The sequence below is a fragment of the Homo sapiens genome, chromosome 3 (genome assembly GCF_000001405.40).
Source record: "Homo sapiens chromosome 3, GRCh38.p14 Primary Assembly".
NCBI classification, from domain to species: Eukaryota; Metazoa; Chordata; class Mammalia; order Primates; family Hominidae; genus Homo; species Homo sapiens.
Window position 1 is genome coordinate 130,081,831 of NC_000003.12, and position 14,028 is coordinate 130,095,858.

General features: G+C 49.2%; 1 protein-coding gene and 1 long non-coding RNA gene across 2 annotated transcripts in view, besides 1 other annotated feature; one reads left to right on the plus strand and one right to left on the minus strand.

Moving 5' to 3' along the window:
• The window catches only part of ALG1L2 (ALG1 chitobiosyldiphosphodolichol beta-mannosyltransferase like 2), a 16,560-nt gene continuing 2,532 nt past the window's right edge, over nt 1-14,028 (plus strand). Inside the window, exons 1-5 of the mRNA NM_001136152.1 lie at nt 1-206; nt 9,431-9,541; nt 10,271-10,392; nt 11,271-11,330; nt 12,573-12,683. Coding sequence (NP_001129624.1) covers nt 187-206; nt 9,431-9,541; nt 10,271-10,392; nt 11,271-11,330; nt 12,573-12,683 — 424 coding nt within the window. The 5' untranslated portion in view covers nt 1-186. The remainder of the gene's footprint in view (nt 207-9,430; nt 9,542-10,270; nt 10,393-11,270; nt 11,331-12,572; nt 12,684-14,028) is intronic.
• Nucleotides 7,033-12,474, minus strand: LINC02014 (long intergenic non-protein coding RNA 2014). The gene is made up of 5 exons (NR_146710.1): nt 12,318-12,474; nt 9,947-10,037; nt 8,872-9,290; nt 7,530-7,648; nt 7,033-7,425 (listed from the first exon to the last, which is right to left on the minus strand). It is a non-coding gene; the product is annotated as a long intergenic non-protein coding RNA 2014 (long non-coding RNA).
• Nucleotides 12,967-13,046: an enhancer, noted in NCBI's record as "active region_20519". NCBI's record gives its function as "activates an Ori minimal core promoter by ATAC-STARR-seq in GM12878 lymphoblastoid cells {active_cell/tissue: GM12878}" and the evidence as "EXISTENCE:reporter gene assay evidence [ECO:0000049][PMID:35858748]".

Sequence of the window (14,028 nt, forward strand, 5' to 3'; positions counted from 1 at the left end):
GTGGGAGGTGACACCAGGAGGTAACCAGGTGGAAATCACCCTCAAGTAGCAGAGACAGGTGTGCAAAGGCTCAGAGGGAGCTTCTCCAGGATCAGCAGAGCTCGATTGTAGGGTGTGAGGCTGTCACAGAGGCTGGAGAAATAAGCAGTTCCTTGCTAAGAAGTCTGAATTTTAACCTGAAGGGACATGGGAGCTACTGCAGGCTGGTAAGCAGGGGGGTGGTGCTGGTTGGATTGCAATGCAGAGAAACCCTGGGTTGGCCTGCGTCTGATAGACTGGAGAGACCCTTGAAGAAATCAGGGTACAGGCAGTCCTCCGGAGTAGAAATGAGGAAGGTGCCAACTGAGACCACAGCAGTGGGGAAGAGTGTGAGAGGGATGGAAATTGAGATGAATTCATGGGTGTTTGGCCTGTGTAGTCACACAGGGTCCCGAGCTGAGAGGGACCCCGAGCTTGGCTTAATGCTCTGCTGTCACTGTCTTAAAATTCCTCCTCATTTTATGTGTGAATCTATGTTTTGTTTTGTTTTGAGAAAGAGTCTCTGTCGCCCAGGCTGGAGTGCACTGGCACCATCTCGGCTTACTGCGACCTCCACCTCCCAGACTCAAGTGATTCTCCTGCCTCAGCCTCCCAAGTAGCTGGGACTACAGCCACCTGCCACCACGCCTGGCTAATTTTTGTATTTTTAGTAGAGAGTGGGTTTCACCATATTGGCCAGGCTGGTCTTGAACTCCTGATCTCAAGTGATCTGCCCACCTCAGCCTCCCAAAGTGCTGAGATTACAGGCATGAGCCCCTGCAGCCAGTCTGAATCTATGTTTTATCAGTGAAATCCAATGGGGCAATAGAACACGTGCGTGGGCAGACGAGACACCAACAATATGAGTTACCCCCGTCCCTTGCCACCGCACTCCCCATGGCGTGTCTGCTGTGCCCTGAGCATAGAATCTTGGGGGGTCCGCAGTGCATGGGAGCCCAGCAAGGCTCCAAGTGAGCATAAGGGAAGCCTACTATGTCCACAACGGAGTCTGCAAGAGATGCTGACAGCACCAAGAGGTTGCACTTTCTCTTATTATAGAATCAGAATTGAAAACCAAGTCAATGGCATTCTAAGAAACAGGAACAAACAAGGAACCCTCTCCCAGCCTTTTCTACTCATCTGATTCCCTGTAGTAACCAACCACTTCCACTGGAACTGATGACATAGGAGAGGCAAAGATAGCAGAGTCATAGTTGTTTTTCCTTTCAATTCTTCCTTATGCATCAGTAAGCCAAAGGTAGAGAGTGGTGGTAGATTGTATAGGTGTGAAAAAGTGAAATAAAAACAGCTGAATGGCCAGGTGTGGTGCTTCATGTCTGTAATCCCAGCATTTTGGGGGGCCGAGGTGGGTGGATCACAAGGTCAGGAGTTCGAGACCAGCCTGGCCAACATGGCGAAACCCCGTCTCTATTAAAAATACAAAAATTAGGCCGGTGTGGTGGCAGGCTCCTGTAATCCCAGCTACTCAGGAGGCTAAGGCAGGAGAATGGTCTGAACCCGGGAGGCAGAGGTTGCAGTGAGCTGAGATCTCACCCTGCACTCCAGCCTGGGCAAGAGAGCAAGACTCTGTCTCGGGAAAAAAACAAAAACAAACAAACAAACAAAAACAGATGAATTAGTTTCCTGCAACGTCTCACTGTTTCTGTGAGGCAAAAAAATGCCACATACAAAGTACAAATTACGTCATTTCTGTGATTCCACATTTGAGTCCAGTGTTCCTATTTAAATCTGGCATTGCACAATGTAAAGAGGAACAGTATAATCCATGCTAGTAATTTAAAATGTTAACTTTTTTTTTACTTGGAAGGACATTAAATAACAAATGAAAGCATCATGATAAATTGAGACACAGACACCACAGAAGAAAGAAAATGCTTTATATGTTAATACTTCAGCAGTGCTTTTTCCTCTGATTTTTGAATAAGGGGGCCCATGTTTTCATCTTGCACTGGGCCTTGCAAATTCTGCAGCTGCTCCTGACTGTAAAGAGGGGATTTAGCCATAAAATCAGCAAGGGTTGGTCGTGGGGATGTGGGGTACAGGAAGATAGAGGATTTAGGCATGGCTGCAGGGTTTTAAGCTGGTGGTACTGTTGGCTGGGAAATCTAGGAAATCCAGCATTGAAGGACCGGCTTTGTGAATCTGTTGTGGATGGGCTGAGCCTGCAGTGGCCATGGGGCATCCTGCCTGGGAGGAGGGCGAGCAGCAATTCATCAGCACAGATGGTGACTGAGGCTCAGGAGGGGCTACTGAGGTAGGAACTGTGGGCAGGGATGCTGGGGAAGCAGACATTGAGGAGATGGGACAACAGCTGGGTATGGTGGCTCACACCTGTAATCCCAGCTACTCAGGCTGAGACAGTAGGATAGCTCGAGGCCAGGAGTTCAAGATCAGTCTGCACAACATAGCGAGACCCCATTTCCCCCCCTCAAAAAAAATTAATAAAAAGTAAAAATGCAAAGAAGAGATGGGACAGCAAAGAAGGCCTCATAAAGGAGATGGAGAGGAAGGAGACAGGAGGAAAGGGGAGAGGGAAGGTGACAGCCAGAAGCAGGCATGAGAGGTTCCCTAGAGTGGGGTTTTATTATCTCAAGTGACCATGAGCAAATTACTGAACCTCTCTGTGCTGCAGACATCATGGATAAAAAGAAGCTAAAATGAAGACAATAACAGCAGCACTTATGGGCGGGGCGGTAGTGGTGAAGATTAAATGAAGAGTTTATACGGGAAGGGCTCAGAATGCTGCTGTATTAAATGCCTCAGTCTGCTATAAAAAGATACCACAAGCTGGATGGCTTAGAACTACAGAAATGCATCGTCTTACACCTGCAGGCCAGAGGGCTGAGATGAAGGGATTGTCAGGGCCAGGCTCCCTCTGAGGATGCTAGGGGAAGGATCTCCCTCCCAGCTTCTGCCAACTCCTTATCTTGTGGAGCAGAAGTCCAGTCTTCACGTGGTCTTCTCCCTGTGTGCATCTGTGTCCAAAATTTCCCCTTTCCATATATCTATGTCTATATCTACACACAAAAATACACATATATGTAGTGTGTGTGTGTATATATATAGAGATATATATAATTTTATTTATTTATTTATTTATTTATTTTGAGACAGAATCCTGCTCTGTCACCCTGGCTGGAGTGCGGTGGTGCAATCTTGGCTCACTGTCACTTCCGCCTCCCGGGTTCAAGCAATTGTCCTACCTCAGCCTCCCGAGTAGCTGGGATTACAGGTGCCCACCACTGTGCCCAACTAATTTTTTTGTATTTTTAGTAGAGACAGGTTTCACCATGTTGGCCAGGCTGGTCTTGATCTCCTGACCTCAAGTGATCCACTCGCCTCGGCCTCCCAAACTGCCAAGATTACAGACGTGAGCCACCGCACCTGGCCTCTTTTATTATTTTTTAATAGAGATGGGGGTCTTGCTATGTTGGCCAGGTTGGTCTTGAACCTTGGCCTCAAGTGATCCTCCTGCCTCAGCCTCCCAAAGTGCTAGGATTACAGGCATGAGTCACTGTGCCTGGCGTATTTTATTTATAATCTTTTTAATAGAGATAGGAGTCTCCCTATGTCTGCCAGGTTGGTCTTGAAACTTGGCCTCAAGTGATCCTCTTGCCTCAGCCTCCCAAAGTGCTAGGGTTACAGGCATGAGCCACTGCACCTGGCCAATTTCCCCTTTCCATAAGGACACGCATTATACTGGATAAAGCCCACTCTATCAACCTGATTTTAACTTGACTACCTTTGTAATGACTATCTCCAAATATGTCACATTTTGAGGTACTGGGGGTCAGGACTCCAAGAAGTCTTTTGTGGGAGAGGGGATGCAATTCAACCCACAACAGTGCCCTGCTCTGTGAAATGTTCACCTTTATGAATAAGACGACCTCCACGAGTTGTTTTCTTCAAAGGTATGAGGCAGAGACCAGTGAGGGGCAACCTGAGGGTGGGGAACCTAAATTTGCTGTGGCCACAATCTCCGCAAAAACGCAATGTTTCTCCCGCAGCACTTAGCAGCCCAGGTGAAGGTAAATACAAGAAGGAGAGGGAACAAAGATGAGGGAGTGACACATCCTGATAATGTGCCAAAGACAACCACAGGCAGACATACTGATGGCAGTGAGGCAGACGAGGAACACTGCTCATTGCTCTGCCTGCCTCACTTTTGTTCACGGGCCACCAGGAGGCCTGAGGTCCCAGGTGGACAGAAATCACCACGATCCCCTCTTGGCCCCAACCAACATACGCACAGGAGGCAAACCAACTTTTGATCATTTATTAAAACAAATAAGAGGTTAATCTGTGGGTAAAAAGGCCTTGTTTGTCAGCAGCTCAGGGGATGCCTTCCAGCTGACAGGCGCTAGCGCACTTTGAAGTAGGAAGCATCAAATGGGTTCTGGAGATAAGCAATAGATAAACAACGGGAGTTACCACAAGTGTCAAGCCAGGCATCACCTTCACAGAAATTATTCCTGGAGCGAATGTGGAAGTCATTAATCCCAAGAGAAAAGACAGAGGTGGGCATGGTGGCTCATGCCTGTCATCTCAACACTTTGGGAGGCCAAGGCGGGAGGATCCCTTGAAGCCAAGAGTCCAAGATCAGCCTGGGCAACAAAGTGAGACCTCGTCTCTACAACAACTAAACTAAATAAAATAAATTAGCCAGGTGCAGTGGTGCACACCTGTAGTCCCAGCTACTCAGGAGGCTAAGGCAGGAGGATTGCTTGAGCCCAGGAGGTCAAGGCTGCAGTGACCTATGATCACATCACTGCACTCCTGCCTGGTCCACAGAGCAAGGCCCTGTCTCTAAAAGTAAGAGAAGAGAAGACAGATGAAGCAAAGTGGGCCAAAACGTAGAAAAAGGAAATTGCTCTGTTTTAGATGAAGGATTGTGAAACAAAATTTTCAAAAGCAGCAATGAAAGACCTGTCTACCACAGTGTAGCCCTCAGCAAAACCACAAGTGGGCAGACTCTGACTCTCCCACACCCCTCTGGCTAACCCCAAACCCCTTCTAGATAGAATGTTCTCCTTCCTCTTCATCCTAATGCCAGGAGCAACTTTGGTGGTGCGTTCCCCACACCTGCCCCCTTTGCCAAAGCTCCAGGTTCCAGAACCTTCCTTTCTTTCTTCTCTTCTGCTTTAAGGCTTGCTTACCCTGAGTTCAAGATCCTTACAGCCTTGTTAGATAAATGGCTACATAAGATGACCGGTTAACCAGAGCGAGTATGGCTGATGATGGCTTCTGCAATATAATGAAATGAACCTGCTCCCACCTTCACTGAACGATCAACATTCACTTTGGTGTAATGGGGTAAACCATCAACATGTCCCTCCTGATGCAATGCACAGAGAACATGACACCATTGCTGTGATAGTCCCACCCCAAATGCATAAGAATATCACCGCCAAGAAACATCAGCCAAATCCAAAGTAAGGGACATTCTATCAAATAACCGTCTTGCGTTCTTCAAGAATGCCAATACCATGAAAGATAAAGAAAAACTGAGGATCTGTTCCAGGCTAAAAGGTACCTACAGAGACACAACAACTGAAAATAATGCATGATCTGGGATGATCGTTTGCTCCAATGTACATCATTGGGTTAACTGGCGAAATCTGAATGAGGTCCATTAGAAAACCGTATTGTAGCAGGGTTAGTTTCCTGATTTTGATCATTGCCTTGGTTATATAAGAGAAAGTCCTTGTTATTAAGGAATACACAGGAATATTTAGGGGTAAAGGATAACTCTTCTGCCACTTGGAAAATAATAAAGCAAATGGGGTAAAATGGTAGCACTGGGGAATCTCAGCGAAGGGTATAAAGGATGTCTTTGTACTATTTTTGCAACACTTCCATGTCTGGAAAAATAATAATAAATATTACATATTTAATAATTAAATGAATGAAAAAGTGCAATGTTTCTGCAGGTGTCGACCTTGGCAATGCAATAGGATCATCTCAGAAGCTCTGCATGAACATCAGTGCCCAGGCCCCAACCCAGAGATTCATAGTCAGTTAGCTGGGGGTGAAACTCCAGACATCGGCATGTGTAAAACACACCCCAAGGTCATTCTAGTGTGAATCCAGAATAATAAGCAGCCAGCTTAGCCTTTAGTGTCATTGGGTTGACAGGAAAGTTCTAGGCTGGGGACTTTCTGAGCCCCCATGTCTGCTTGTTTTGAGATCTGATCTTGGGGGCCACATGGTGACTCAAAACAGGAGCACAGTTGTGGGTCCAGTCTTGGTCCTTCCACTAATAAGATGGGAGACGTTGCGTCAGATCCCTTGCCTGTGCCAAGCCTGGGTTTTCTTAGCTGTGGAATGAGGTTAACCAGGAAGTGCCTCAGTGGCCAATATGCATTCAAGGAAGAAGATGCCCAGCTCAGTAAGTGATATGGTGTGGCTGTGTCCCCACCCAAATCTCTAATTGTAGTTCCCATAATCACCACATGCTGTGGGAGGGACCTAGTGGGAGGTAACTAAATCACGGGGTGGGTCTTTCCCCTGCTGTTCCCATGACATTGAATAAGTCTCACAAGATCTAATTCTTTTTTTCTTTTTCTGAGACCGAGTCTCACTCTGTTGCCCAGGCTGGAGTGCAGTGGCTTGATCTCAGCTCACTGCAACCTCTGCCTCCTGGATTTAAGCAATTTTCGTGCCTCAGCCTCCCAAGAATCTGGGACAACAGGCATGAGCCATTACGCCTGGCTAATTTTTGTATTTTTATTAGAGATGGGGTTTCAACATTTTGGCCAGGCTGGTCTCAAACTCCCGATCTCAGGTGATCCACGCACCTTGGCTTCCCAAAGTGCTGTGATTAGAGATGTGAGTCACTGTTCCCTGCCTGATCTAATGGTTTTATAAAGGGGAGCTCCCCTGCACAACTCTCTTGCCTGCTGCCATGTAAGATGTGACTTTGCTCCTCCTCCACCTTCTGCCATAATCATGAGGCCTCCCCAGTCATGTGGCTCTGTGAGTCCATTAAACCTCTTTTTCTTTATAAATTACCCAGTCTCAGGTATGTCTTTATTAGCAGAGTGAGAATGGACTAATACAGTAACCCTTACATCCCCAGACCCCAAAATGGAGTTGTCACAGGATGGCAGTCTGAAATCCTTGTGATGTCCAGCTGGCAGAAGGGAATTTGGATGAGTAGGGCTAGCCAACTTCTGGTATTGCTGGTGGGTCCTGTCATTGTGTGGGTGACTCCTTGCACCCCTGGCCCTTCATAGGACGAAATTCTGGGAGGGTTCTTGGGAAAGGGGCTAGAGAAGGCAAGAGGACACTAATCTTCTTCCAGGCAGTAGGAGGGCAAGCTGGAGAGGCCAAGCTCCCAAGTAAACTGAGGCACCTCCACTGGTCCCTTTGTGAGGCACGCTTGACCTGGGTTTTATGGAAAGAAAATGCCCTCACCAAAGGGTGCTAAACAAGGCCCCAGGCTCCGCACCTCATCCCAGGTGCCCCCCTCTGCCCTGCCCTAGACTCACCTAAAGCTGTACTGCCCAGAGTCATGGCCTCAGGCCACATGTGGCTACTGGGCACTTGAGATGTGGCCATCTTAATTGAGATATGCTCTTAGTGTAAAATATACACTAGATTTCCAAGCCTTCATAATCAAAAAAAGAAAAAAAAAAGAACATAAAATATCCATTAAGAATTTTTAAGTATTCATTAATGTTGAAATAATAATATTTTGAATATATTGGTTAAAGTTTACTAGGAGAATTCATTTCACCCCTTTTACTTTTTCTAATGTGGTGACTAAATTATTTAATATTACACATGTGGATTACATTATATTTCTATTGGACAGCTCTGTTCTAAAGTCTGCACGTTGTCCTTTTGTGGCTTATTTCCTTGATAATTTTATTAAAATTAAATTGAAGGGCCAGGTGCAGTGACTCACACCTGTAATCTCAGCATTTTGGGAGGCCGAGGCAGGTGGATCACCTGAGGTCAGGAGTTCGATACCAGCCCAGCCAACATGGTGAAACCCTGTCTCTACTTAAAAATACAAAAATTAGCCAGGCTTACGGGTGCGTGACTATAATCCCAGCTACGCGGGAGGCTGAGGTAGGAGAATCGCTTGATTCCTGGAGGCAGAAGTAGCAGTGAGCTGAGATCACGCCACTGCACTCCAGCCTGGGGGACAAAAGTGAAAAATCCATCTCTAAATAAATAAATAGAAAAATAAAACTGAGGGCCTGGCACGGTGGCTCATGCCTGTAATCTCAGCATTTTGGGCGGCCGAGGCAGGAGGATTACCTGAGGTCAGCAGTTCGAGACCAGCCTGGCCAACATGGTGAAATCCCGTCCCTACTAAAAATACAAAAATTAGCTGGGCTTTGTGGTGGGTGCCTGAAATCCCAGCTACTCCGGAGGCTGAGGCAGGAGAATCACTTGAACCCGGGAGGCAAGGTCGCAGTGAGCTGAGATTGCACCAAGGCGCTCCAGCCTGGGCGACAGAGGGAGACCCTGTCTCAATAAATAAAGAAAGAAATAAAAATAAATTGAGGAAGGATTTAGCATGCAAAATAGAATCAGCTTTGGACCCTGAATACCCTGCAGTGAGAATTCCCCTGTGGTTCTCAGGCTTCTGTAATTCCAGCAAATACACTCTTCCTTCAGGTTCACTAAAATGCAGATATTGTGAGATAATGCTCATTTCTCACAGCTTGCTTAAATAATAATGATCATCATAGTAATTTACAACTTAATAGTCAACACTGCCTTTTTAACCCAGTCTGTGAGACTGAATCGTAAACGTGACATTCTTTGAAGTAAAGCTCTCGATTAATATACCAGACTGCATAAACGCTAATAACTTACCTTTCCACAGAAAGATAATATGTGGGTATTCTCTTTGAAGACAAATGGTGGAGAGTAGACTCTCATCAAAGAGCCTCTGGCAGTAATGAGTTGCATTCCAGAAGGTTCCAGAAGGTTCTGTGGAAGGCTGCAGTTTGGGATTGGTTCTCAGGTGTCTAACTGCTTTCTAAGGATGAAGACCCCTGGTTCGTGCTTTAGCGACACCCACAGGAGCAACAGACTAAGACATTCCTCCACACAATAACAGACCCAGGCAGTGCAGAGCCATGTGTGTCTTATCTGTCCTGTTGTCCACAGTCTGGTTTTATCTTAGACCTAGCCTGGTGCAATCCATGTTGTGTATTGGCACTCCACTTAAGTTTCCAGTTTGTAAAAAGCCCCTTTCATTCGGTGATTCCTCAGGTCTTTAGGGGAAATTTCTGGAAACCAGGAAGAAGGAAATAAAGGTTGTTTTGCTGAGGATGGGTGACGTTGGGCATGGAACCCAAATGAGTGGTTTGAGCAGAAAGTAGCCTCCATGCTGGACTAATGCAATAGCCCTGCCATGATTTCATTGCAGGGCTGTGACCGTCTACGACAAGCCGGCATCTTTCTTTAAAGAGGCACCTCTGGACCTGCAGCACCGGCTCTTCATGAAGCTGGGCAGCACGCACTCTCCGTTCAGGGCCCGGTAGGCCTCCCACCCTCAGCTGCCTTCTCTCCTGCTCGCCACTGCCCTGGCCTCTCCCCTTCTCACTGCAGACCTGGGAACCCACTCATCCAGGGATTGGCAAACTAAGGCTACAGGCCAGTCTCCTGCTTTTGTAAATCAAGTTTCACTGGGACACAACACACTCATTAACTTCTGAGTTGTCTACAGCCGCCTTTGAGCTACAATAGCAGAATCGCGTTTTGCAACAGAGAACCTGTGGCCCACAAAGCCTGAAGTATTTACTCTCTGACCCTTTAAGGAATGTTAAAGGGTCTTACTCTCCTGCCAATGGGTTCCCAGGCCTGTGGCAGGATCTGTGGACCTGTGTGTCCCCTGGGGTGTCTCATGGGGCTAAGGAAGGGAACTTTGTGCAGGTCCACATACCCTGAGGTGTGCCCCTGGGTAAGCTGGGGTGGTGTGGGAGGGCGTCCTAGCACCCTCATCTTGGGTCCAGGGGATGACAAGACAGTAAGTCCTGTGGAGAAAAGGAATTAGTCAGTCTTGTTTGCTGTTGTAACCTTAGCACCCAGCAACAATATTAGAGAAAGCAAGCCCAGGCCTCGATTGGCAGGGGTGGCCTGGTGCTGCTGATGCAGCCGGGCACCCCAACCGTTGGGAGCCTGCAGGCCTCACCATGGCAGGAGATGCCCGTTCTGGGTCCTGGGCCTGCTCTGTGGCCTCTCACAGGGTTTTTTTCTGCTCCTTCAGCTCAGAACCTGAGGACCCAGACACAGAGCGGTCGGCCTTCACGGAGCGGGATTCTGGGAGCGGGCTGGTGACGCGTCTCCACGAGCGGCCAGCCCTGCTGGTCAGCAGCACAAGCTGGACAGGTCTGCATGACCACTGGGGCACTTGGGGTTGGTGTGAAGGGCACCTGGCCAACCTGTATTCTCCTCACCCCTGCCAGTCCTGCATGCCCCAACCCCACCACGGTCTCAGTGAGAAGGGGAGGGCGTGTGAGCTGGAAGAGTGGTGTCTAGAAACAGGCCCCTGACATTCAATTCTTCTCATAGAGGACGAAGACTTCTCTATCTTGCTGGCAGCTTTAGAAAGTAGGTGTGTGGCTGCGGTGAGGAGCTCTGGGCTCGTCGGGGCCACTGAGCTGTGAGCTGCTTGCCTGGTCTGCAGCATGTTCCTGTCCTGGGCTACTGGGTGGGGCAGCCTGGGGACAGTAGGGGTGGTGGAGGTGGGCCGCCCTGAATCCCCAGTTGGGTCATTGAGTGACCAGGCCCTCAGGCTGAAATGCCCCCTCCAGGAGAGTATCTCACAGAGGCTGGTGGCCTCCCTGCCAGAGCAGTGCACTTTCTCCACCTGACCAGGGGACTCTGGCTACTGTTTATTTAAAAATTTTTTTCTGAATGGGCATGGTGGCTCACACCTGTAATCCTAGAACTCTGGGAGGCCGAGGCAGGCAGATCACCTGAGGTCAGGAGTTTGAGACCAACCTGGCCAACATGGCGAAACCTGTCTCTACTAAAAATACAAAAATTAGCTAGGTATGGTGGTGGGCGCCTGTAATCCCAGCTACTTGGGAGGCTGATGCACGAGAATTACTTGAACCTGGGAGGCAGAGGTTGCAGTGAGCTGAGATCATGCCATTGCATTCCAGCCTGGGTGACAGAGCGAGAGTCTGTCAGAAAAAAAAAAAAAAAAAAAAAAAAATTAAATCAGAAATTCCATGTAGAATTGTTTCTTTTTTTAAACACAGAGTTTGAACAACTGACTCTTGACGGACAGAACCTTCCTTCTCTCGTCTGTGTGATAACAGGTACTGCCTGGGACCCTGGGTGTCTGTTTGGTTGGGGGATGGTGGAGGGGGAGGGGCACACAGCCTTTACCCTGTGCTTCCCACGATCTTGTCTCCTTAATCCTCACTGCAGCTCTCTGCCATAGGGTCTTACACTGCTTGACATGCGGGAAACTGAGGCTCAGAGGGTTTCACAGCAGGGCAGGGAGCCCAGATTTGAATCTGTAGATACCAAGCTTTCTACTTTTTCAGTAGTTTCCAAGCATCTTTTTTTTGTTGTTATGTCATTGGTGTCTTTTTTTTTTTTTTGAGACAAAGACTCTGTCGCCCAGGCTGGGATGCAGTGGTGCGATCTCAGCTCACTGCAACCTCTGCCTCTCACATTCAAGCAATTCTCATGCCTCAGCCTCCAGAGTAGCTGGGACTAAAAGTGCCCACCACACCCAGCTTATTTTTGTATTTTTAGTAGAAACAGGGCTTCACCATGTTGGCCAGGCTGGTCTTGAACTCCTGACCTCAGGTGATCCACCCGCCTTGGCCTCCCAATATGCTGAAATTATAGATATGAACCACTGTGCCCGGCCATGTCATTGGTGCCTTAACCAAGCTTCTTTTAATTTTTCAAACAGAAGAGCCCCTGTCCCAGTTACTGCTGCTGAGCCCTTTCAAGATGATTCAGTGAGGAGGGAGAAAAGCGGAAGCGGTGTGGGAAGAGGCGGGGTCTGGGCCAGCTGCTGGTCCTGCTCTCCTCCCTCCTCTGGCCTCTAGGCTCCCAGGACTGGTTTGGAACCCGCGCCATGTGCTCTGGAGGCTGTGGCAGGGCAGGTGCGGCTTGGAACCCGCGCCATGTGCTCTGGGGGCTGTGGCAGGGCAGGGGCGGCTTGGAACCTGCGCCCTGTGGTTTGGGGGCTGTGCCAGGGCAGAGGGAGTCCTCTTGTCCCCTGTGCACAACACAGACAGAAGGCTGGGCCCACCCAGTGGGTGGTCGCGTGCCAGGCCAGTGCTTACCCCGCCTTGTTTGCAGCCCGAGGCCAGCTGGTTGCAGGTGCAGGGCTATGCATCAGGGGTCAGGGTGCACATACCCCTGCAGGTCTTGGGGCTCCTGAGTTGCTTCTGGAAAGGCCCAGATAGGGCCTGACTGCAGCTGCCGAGGGGTGGAGCTTCTGGGAAAAGGATCCCTCCTAGGGGGGAGTGTCTTGGGCCTGGGGCTATGTGGCAGGGACAGAGACGGGTTCATGGCAGTGTCTGCTCTTCTCTGTGAAGGCAAAGGGCCTCTGAGGGAGTATTACAGCCGCCTCATCCACCAGAAGCATTTCCAGCACATCCAGGTCTGCATCCCCTGGCTGGAGGGCCGAGGACTACCCCCGCTTCTAGGTGAGAGGCCAGCAGGAGGCTCAGGGAGGAGGCGGGGCCTTATGCAGGGGGAACAGGGGTGGGCGGGGTGTACCTTTTCTGAAAAGGTGGCTCTGGAGGCCACTTGGGGACAGGACCTGGGCTCTAGCTGAACTCCCGGGAGAAGGCTACTTCCTGGTGTGCCAGCCCCTCCCTGCCAGGTGGCCCCAGAGGCCCTTTACCAAGGGGTTTGAGGAAGCCACGTCCTTTCAGCCTGCCACGCCCTCCATTCAGTCCTCTTCCTTCCTGCAAGAGGGCTGGGCCTGGGGTTGGGGCCACTGTTGCCCAGGTGTGGGAGGGCAGTGGCTTTGGGAGGTACAGGGACGATGAGTCAGACAGCGTCGCCTCACCAGTGAGATGGTTCTCCTTTGCCTCCGTCTCTTTCCCCATTGATTTCTCCAAGTGGGGAGTCGTGGCTTGTTCCTGATGCGTCTCTAGAGCCACATCTTCCAGCTTCGAGTGAGCAGAGCTGTTGGAGGCTGAGGGCCTTTTCCTGGCAGGATTCTCCAGCTAGTCTTTGTTTTAGACAGTCTTGCTCCGTTGCCTAGGTTGGAGTGCATGATCTCAGTTCATGCAACCTCTGCCTCCTGGGTTCAAGCAATTCTCCCACCTCAGCCTCCCGAGTAGATTACAGGATTACAGGAGCTCTCCACAACACCTTGCTTATTTTTGTATTTTTAGTAGAGACAGGGTTTCACCATGTTGGCCAGGCTGGTCTTGAACTCCTGACCTCAAGTGATCCTCTCGCCTTGGCCTCCCTAAGTGCTGGGATTCCAGGTGTGACCCATCATGCCTGGCCCCAGCTAATCTTTAGAAATGTTTAGCTATTTGGCTTTATTTTCACACTGACAGCTGGTTTGTGGTGGGTGTGCTGTGGTTTATTATTATTATTATTATTATTATTATTATTATTATTATTTTGAGACGGAGTTTCGCTCCTGTAGCACAGGCTGGAGTGCAATGGTGCGATCTTGGCTCACTGCAACCTCTTCTTTCCCAGGTTCAAGTGATTCTCCTGCCTCAGCCTCCTGAGTAGCGGGGATTACAGGCACCTGCCATGACGCTTCGCTAATTTTACATTTTTTTTTTTAGTAGAGATGGGGTTTCACCATGTTGACCAGGCTGGTCTTGAACTCCTGACCTCAGGTGATCCGCCCGCCTTGGCCTCCCAAAATGCTGGGATTACAGGTGGGAGGTGAACCTGGGAGGTGGAGGTTGCAATGAGCTGAGATTGTGCCACTGCACTCCAGCCTGGGTGACAGAGTGAGACTCTGTCTCAAAACAAAACAACAAAAAAATCAAATTGTGGTTACGTAGAAAAAGTGTC